Genomic DNA, 8679 nt, shown 5'->3' with positions numbered 1-8679 from the left:
CGGCACAACAAACACAAATCCTGTTGAGGAATGCATTTTAAATCCAGGCTTCAAAGCATTGCCACAGATAAATATGCAAAGAATTTGAATATTATAATTTCCCTTTGGATTTCAGTTTAATCCTGGGTGGTTTAGGAATTTTTTATTGACAGAGCTGTTTAAATCTACCTTTTTATTATTAACTATTCTAGTGTTTTTGTTTTTGTTTTTGTTTTTTTGAGATGGAGTCTTGCTCTGTCGCCCAGGCTGGAGTGCAGTGGCGCTATCTCGGCTCACTGCAGGCTCCGCCCCCCAGGGTTCACGCCATTCTCCTGCCTCAGCCTCCCGAGTAGCTGGGACTACAGGCGCCCGCCACCTTGCCCAGCTAATTTTTTTGTATTTTTAGTAGAGACGGGGTTTCACCGTGTTAGCCAGGATGGTCTCGATCTCCTGACCTCGTGATCCGCCCGCCTCGGCCTCCCAAAGTGCTGGGATTACAGGCGTGAGCCACCGCGCCCGGCCAACTATTCTAGTGTTTTGTTGTCAGACAACATACTCTGTTGTGATGCTAATTATTTGGAGTTTATAGAGGCTCTTCTGTAACCTAGTCCATAATCAATTAATATAAATGTTCCATGGGTGCTTTAAAAATAGATATTTTTTAAAAATTGATATTTTTAAAGCACCCATGGAACATTTATATTAATTGATTATGAGTTTATATTATGGATTTATGTTATGCATTTATATTAATTGATTATGCATTTATAATTATTGATTACAGGTGTGAGCACAGTGAGATTACACCTGTAATCTTGGCACTTTGGGAGGCCAAGGTGGTTGAATCACTTGAGCCCAGGAGTTTAAGACCAGCCTAGACAACATGGCAAACCCCATTTCTACCAAAAAAAAAAACAAAAATTTTCTGGGCATGGTGGCGTAACCTGTAGTCCTAGCTACTTAGGAGGCTGAGGTGGGAGGATTGCTTGAGCCCAGGAAATTGAGGCTGCACACTGTGACTGTGCCACTGCACCCCAGCCTGGGTCACAGAGCAAGATACTGTCTCTTTAAAAAAAAAAAAAATTAGCTTTTCAGGCATGCAAAGTTCAACATATAGAACAATAGAAGATGAAATGTATTAATCTTGTACATTTTGTGTCTTATTTTGTATCTGCCTTATCAAAAAATTTTAAAGGTGTCGTGTTAGATATTACCATGTATTATTGTTGATTTAAAAAAATTTTCTCCAGTAGTCTACTGGTCCTGCTCCCTGTACTTTGAATGTATATTTGATATAATTTGGATGTTTGTCCCTTCCACATCTCATGTTGAAATGTAATCCCCGATGTTGGAGGTAGAACCTGGTGGGAGGTGTTTGGGTTATGGGGGTGAATCCCTCATTAATGGTTTGGTTCTGTCCTCGCAGTAATGAATGAGTTCTCACTCTGTAAGTTCACATGAGATCTGATTGTTTAAAAGAGCCTGGCACTTCCTCCCTCTCTTACTTGCTCCTTCTCTCACCGTGCAACACACTGGTTCCCCTTCACCTTCTGCCATGATTGTAAGCTTCCTGAGGCCCTCACCAAAAGCAAATGCTAGCACTATGCTTTATGTACAACCTAAAGAACCACAAGCTAGTTAAACCTCTTCTCTTTATAAATTACCCAGCCTCAGGTATTTCTTTATAGCAACACAACTGGACTAATACAATGTTGTTTAGTGCATATTTCTTCCATCATTAGTGGCACATATGTTTATAATATATTTTCTTGATCTATTTTTTTTTACCAATATGCAGTAACCCACTTTATTCCTTGTATTACTGCTCTCCATGAAAACAGAACCAATTGGATGTGCATATACATAGAAAGAGATGTATTATAAGGAATTGGCTCATGCAATTATGGAGACCGTCAAGTCCAAATCTACTGTATAGGCCAGAAGTCTATAGCTAGGGGATCAGATAAAGTCCAGCAGGCAGAGAATTTCCTCTCGCTTGGAAAGACTGGTCTTTTTGTTCTATCCAGGCCTGCAACTGATTAGATGAGGTTCACCCACATTATGGAGGGCAATCTGCCCCACCCAAAGTTTACTGATTTAAATGTTCATCTCATCCAAAACACCCTCCAAGTTGAAACATAAAATTAACTATCACATCCCTTGTAACTTTTTTTTTTGCCTTAAATTCAAACTGTATATTAAAATTATTACCCCAGTTCTCTTCTGGTTCATATTTTGCTGGTTTGCATTTTCTATGCTTATTTTTTACCTCTCTTGAACTGTTTATTTTATGTCTATCCTCTGTAAATGACATATTGCTACATTTAATTTTTTAAAATACATTCTGAGATTCTCAGGTTATGATTTAGAAGTTTAATCTACTCATATATATTCTAATTTCTGGTATATTGGCACTCTATTTGCCATCTTTTTCAAGTTTTATTTTTGCCATACTTTCTTTTTTGCCTGCATTTTGATAGATCACATTTTCTTCTGCTTGTTTAAAATTTATGTATTTTGTTTTTATTCTTCAGGTAGTAATCCCTAAGTTTTTTTGTTTTTTGTTTTTTTTAGACAAGGTCACTCTGTCACCCAGGCTGGAGTGCAGTGGCACAATCATGGCTCACTGCAGCCTCAAACTCCCAGGCTCAAGCAATCCTCCCACCTCAGCCTCCTGAGTAGCTGGGACTACAGACATGTGCCACCACAGCCAGCTAAATTTTTTGAAGTTTTTTGTAGAGATAGAGCAGCAGCCCAGGCTGGTCTCAAACTCCTGGGCTCAAGTGAACCTCTCGACTCAGCCTCCCGAAGTGCAGTGCTGGGATTACAGGTGTGAGCCACCACATCTGGCGCTAACTTACCAAGGACCATATTTACACTTATTTTTCCTTGTCAATGTCTAAAGTTTAGCAACTCTTACCACTCTCTAGATTCTCTATTCATACCTCACTTCCACCATCAGTGGGTTTTTTTCAATTTTATTTTTTAGTGTTACATAATAATTGTACATATTTGTGGGATACATGTGATGTTTTGATACATGTATACAATGCGTAATGATCAAATCAGAGTAATTAGGATATCCATCACCTCAAATATTTATCATTTCTTTGTGTTGAGAACATTTCAAATCTTCTAGCTATTTTGAAATATATAAGTTACTGTTAGCTATAGTCACCCTACTATGATATTGAACACTAGAACTTATTCCTTATATCTAACTATATTTTTGTACCCATTAACTAATCTCTCTTCATCCCCCATAACCCATTTCCCTCATAGCCTCTGGTAATGGTCATTCTACTCTCTATCTTCATGGGATCAACATTGTTAGCTCCCACATATAAGTGAGAACATGCAGAATTTCTTTCTGTGCCTGGCTTATTTCACTTAATGTATGTCCTCTAGTTCTATCCTTCTTGAAGCAAATCACATAATTTATTCTTTTTTATTGCTGAGTCATATTCTATTGTGTATATAAACCACATTTTCCTTATTCATTCAACTATTGATGGATGCTTAGGTTGCTTCTATATCTTGGCTATTGTGAATAGTGCTGCAATAACCATGTAGTGCAGATATCTCTTTGATATATTGATTTTCTTTCTTTGGAATATATATGCAACAGTAGGATTGCTGGGTCATATGGTAGGCCTATTTTTAGTTTTTTGAGGCACCTCCATACTGTTTTTCATAGTGGCCATACTAGCTTACATTCCCACCAACAATGTACTAGTGTTCCCCTTTCTCTGTAACCTCATGAGCATTTTTTTTTTTTTTTGAGACAGTCTCACTCTGTCACCCAGGCTGGAGTACAGTGGCACAATCTCGGCCCACTGCAACCTCTGCCTCCTGGGCTCAAGCCATTCTTGTGCCTCAGCCTCCTGAGTAGCTGGAATTACAGGCATGTGCCACCACACCCAGCTTATTTTTGTAATTTTACTAGAAACGGGGTTTCACCTTATTGGCCAGGCTGTTCTTGAACTCTGACCTCAAGGGATCCGCCTGCCTCGGCCTCCTAAAGTCCTGGGATTACAGGCATGAGCCACCACGCCCAGAAGGATTTGGTTTTTCAATAAATATAATTTCCATTTTTATTCAGGATTAGATTAGATTTAGATTCAGGGAGCACATGTGCAGGTTTGTTACTTGGGTATATTGTGTGATGTTGAGATTTGGGATCTGAATGATCCCATCACTCAGGTAGTGAGCATGGTAACCAATAGTTAGTGTTTGAACCCTTCTGCCTCCTTCCTCTAGAAGTCCCCAGTGTCTATTGTTGCCATCTTTATGTCCATGAGTACCCAGTGTTTTGCTCTGACTTACAAGTGAGAACATGCTGTGTTTGGTTTTCTGTTCCTGCATTAATTTGCTTAGGATGTGGCCTCCAGCTCCATCCATGTTGCCACAAAGGACATAATTTTATTCTTTTTATGGCTGCATAGTATTCCATGGTGTATATGTGCCACATTTCCTTTATCCAGTCCACCACTGATAGGCACCATGGTTGATTCCATGTCTTGGTATTGTGAATAGTGCTGCAATGAACATATGATTGCATGTGTCTTTTTGGAAAAATGGTTTATTTTCTTTTGGATATGTACCCAATAATGGGATTGCTGGATCAAATGGTAGTTCTGTTTTAAGTTCTTTGATGACTCTCCAAACTGCTTTCCACAGTAGCTGAACTAATTTACATTCCCACCAACAGTGTATAAGCATTCCCTTTTCTCTGCAGCCTTGCCAACATCTGTCGTTTTTTGACTTTTTAATAATTGCCATTATGACTGGTGTGAGATGGTATCTCATTGTGGGTTTGATTTGCATTTATCTTATGATTAGTTGCTTTGAGCATTTTTTCATGTTTATTGGCCACTTTTATGTCTTCTTTTGAGAAGTGTCTGTTCATGTCTTTTGCCCACTTTTTAATGGGGTTGTTTCTTGCTTGTTGAATTATTTAAGTTCCTTATAGATTCTAGATATTAGATCTTTGTCAGATGTATGTTTGTGAATATTTTCTCTCATTCTGGAGGTTGTTTAGTGTACTGACAATTTATTTTGCTGAACAGAAGCTTTTTAGCTTAACTAGTTCTCACTTGTCAATTTTTGCTTTTGTTGCAATTGCTTTTGGGGACTTAGTCATAAATTCTTTCCCAAGGTTGCTATCCAGAATGGAGTTTCCTTGGTTTTCTTCTAGAATTCTTATAGCTTGACATTCTTACATTTAAATCTGTAATCCAATTTGAGTTAATTTTTGTATATTGTGAAAGTTAGGGGTCCAGTTTCATTCTTCTGCACATGGCTACCACCTAACCCAGCACCGTTTATTGAATAGAGAACCTTTTCTCCATTTTTTTTTTTCTTTTGAGACAGGATCTCACTCTGTCACCCAGGCCAGAGTGCAGTGGCATGATCACAGCACACTGCAACCTCAGCCTCCTGGGCTCAAGCAATCTATCAACCTCAACCTCTCAAGTAGCTGGGACCCTAGGCAAGTGACACTACACCTGGGTTTTTTTTTTTTAGAGGAAAGGTCTCACTCGCTACATTGCCATTGCCCAGGCTGGTCTTGAATTCCTGATGTCAAGCCATCCTTCTGCCTCAGTCTCCCAAAGTACTGAGATTACAGGTGAGAGCAACCACACCTGGCCCCTATTGCTTACTTTTGTCAACATTGTCGAAGACCAGAAGGCTGTAGGTGTGCAGCTTGATTTCTGGGTTCTCTGTTCCATTCTATTGGCCTATGTGTCTGTTTTACTACCAGTAGTACCATGCTGTTTAGGTTACTATAGCCTTATAGTATAGTTTGAAGTCAGGTAATGTGATGCCTCAAGCTTGGTTCTTTTTGCTTAGGATTGATTTGCTATTCAGGCTCTTTTTTGGTTCCATATGAATTGTAGAATAGTTTTTCCTAGTTCTGTGAAAAAGGACATTCGTAATTTGGTAGGAATCATGTTGAATCTGTAGACTGCTTTGGGCAGCATGGCCATTTTAATGATATTGATTCTTCCAATCCATGAGCATGACATGTTTTTTCCATTTGCTTGTGTCATCTATTATTTCTTTTGACAGTGTTTTGTAGTTCTCCTTATAGAGATCTTTTATCTCCTTGGTTCGTTGTATTCCTAGATATTTTATTTTTTGTGTGGCTAATGTAAATGGGATTCTATTCTTGATTTGGCTCTCAGCTTGAACATTATTGGTGTATGGAAATGCTACTGGTTTTGTAGATTGATTTTGTGTACCGAAACTTTGCTGAAGTCATCCTTTTTTTTTATCAGTTCCAGCAGCCTTTTGGTGGAGTCTTTAGGGTTTTCTAGGTACAGAATCATATCATCACTGAAGACAAATAGTTTGATTTCTTCTTGTTGTATTTGAATGTTTTTTCTTTTTTTCTTTAACCTGGTTGCTCTGGCTAGGACTTCCAGTACTATGGTGAATAGGAGTGGTGAAAATGGGCATCCTTGTCTTGTTCCAGGTCTTAAGGGGAATGCTTCCAGCTTTTGCCCATTCAGTATGATGTTGGCTGTGGGTTTGTCATATTATTTTGAGGTATGTTTCTTTGATTCCTAGTTTGTTGAGAGTTTTTTTCATGAAGGGATGTTGGATTTTATCATAGGCTTTTTCCCACACCTATTGAGATGATCACATGGATTTTGTTTTTAATTCTGTTTCATGTGGTGAATCACACTTATTGATTTGCATATGTTGAACCCACCTTGCATCCCAGCAATGAAGCCTACTTGATCATAGTAAATTAACTTTTTCATATGCTGCTGGATTTGGTTTATTGGATTTTGTTGAACAATTTAGTGTCTGTGTTCATTAGGGATATTGGCATGTAGTTTTCTTTTTTCATTGTGTCTTTTTGATAATATTTTAATTGTGGTGAGATAATATCTCACTGTGGTTTTGATTTGCATTTCCCTGATCATTAGTGATGTTGAGCATTTTTTAATATAACTGTTGGCCATTTTATGTCCTCTTTTGTAAAAATATCTATTCAGATAATTTGCTTATTTTTAAATGAGATTATTATTACTATTTGTTATTGAGTTGTTTGAGCTCCTTATATATTCTGGTTATTAATCCCCTGTCAGATGAATAGTTTATAAATATTTTCTCTTATTCTGCAGATTGTCTCTTCACTCTGTTGATTATTTCCTTTGTTGTGCAGAAGCATTTTAACTTGATATAAACTTATTTGTCTATTTTTGCTTTTGTTGCCTATAGTTTTGATGTCTTACCCAAGCAATCTTTGTGCAGACCAATATCCTGAAGGATTTCTCCAATGTTTTCTTCTAGTGGTTTCATAGTTTCAGACCTTACATTTAAGTCTTTAATCCATCTTTATTTGATTTTTGTATATGGTGAAAGATAGGGGTCTAGTTCATTCTTGTGCATAGAGATGTTCAGTTTTCCAAGCACCATTACTGAAGAGAGTATCCTTTCCTCAATGTGTATTTTTGGCATCTTTCTCAAAAATGAGTTGGCTATAAATGCACGGATTTATTTCTGAGTTCTCTATTCTGTTCCATTGGTCTATGTGTCTGTTTTTATGCCAGTACCATGCTGTTTTTGTTTCTATAGCTTTTTAGTGTATTTTGAAGTTTCGTAGTGTGATACCTCCAACTTTGTTCCTTTTTTGCTCAGGAACAACTTTGTTTCTTTTTTTTTTTTTTTTAGTGTTACAGTTCTTTTATTTATTTATTTATTTATTTATTTATTTATTTATTTTTTTATTGATCATTCTTGGGTGTTTCTCGCAGAGGGGGATTTGGCAGGGTCATAGGACAATAGTGGAGGGAAGGTCAGTAGATAAACAAGTGAACAAAGGTCTCTGGTTTTCCTAGGCAGAGGACCCTGCGGCCTTCCGCAGTGTTTGTGTCCCTGGGTACTTAAGATTAGGGAGTGGTGATGACTCTTAACGAGCATGCTGCCTTCAAGCATCTGTTTAACAAAGCACATCTTGCACCGCCCCTAATCCATTTAACCCTGAGTGGACACAGCACATGTTTCAGAGAGCACAGGGTTGGGGATAAGGTCACAGATCAACAGGATCCCAAGGCAGAAGAATTTTTCTTAGTACAGAACAAAATGAAAAGTCTCCCATGTCTACTTCTATCCACACAGACCCGGCAACCATCCGATTTCTCAATTTTTTCCCCACTCTTCCCGCCTTTCTATTCCACAAAACCGCCATTGTCATCATGGCCCATCCCCAGTGAGCCGCTGGGCACACCTCCCAGACGGGGTCGTGGCCGGGCAGAGGGGCTCCTCACTTCCCAGTAGGGGCGGCCGGGCAGAAGCGCCCCTCACCTCCCGGACTGGGCGGCTGGCCGGGCGGGGGGCTGACCCCCCCACCTCCCTCCTGGACGGGGCGACTGGCCGGGCAGAGGGGCTCCTCACTTCCCAGTAGGGGCGGCCGGGCAGAGGAGCCCCTCACCTCCCGGACAGGGCGGCTGGCCGGGCGGGGGGCTGACCGCCCCCCACCTCCCTCCCGGTCGGGGTGGCTGCCGGGCGGAGACGCTCCTCACTTCCCAGACGGGGTGGCTGCCGGACGGAGGGGCTCCTCACTTCTCAGACGGGGCGGTTGCCAGGCAGAGGGTTTCCTCACTTCTCAGACGGGGCGGCCGGGCAGAGACGCTCCTCACCTCCCAGACAGGGTTGCGGCCCAGCAGAGGCGCTCCTCACATCCCA

The 8679-nt window shown here is 40.1% G+C and overlaps 1 annotated feature.

Annotated features, from left to right (window-relative positions):
* Nucleotides 7652–8155: an enhancer, noted in NCBI's record as "OCT4-NANOG-H3K27ac-H3K4me1 hESC enhancer chr4:152312507-152313010 (GRCh37/hg19 assembly coordinates)". NCBI's record gives its function as "activates a minimal SCP1, AML or CMV promoter by ChIP-STARR-seq in naive H9 embryonic stem cells {active_cell/tissue: H9 hESC(naive)}" and the evidence as "EXISTENCE:reporter gene assay evidence [ECO:0000049][PMID:30033119]".

Source organism: Homo sapiens, chromosome 4 (assembly GCF_000001405.40).
Source record: "Homo sapiens chromosome 4, GRCh38.p14 Primary Assembly".
In the NCBI taxonomy this organism is placed as follows: domain Eukaryota; kingdom Metazoa; phylum Chordata; class Mammalia; order Primates; family Hominidae; genus Homo; species Homo sapiens.
This window is presented reverse-complemented; position numbering and strand designations above follow the sequence as displayed.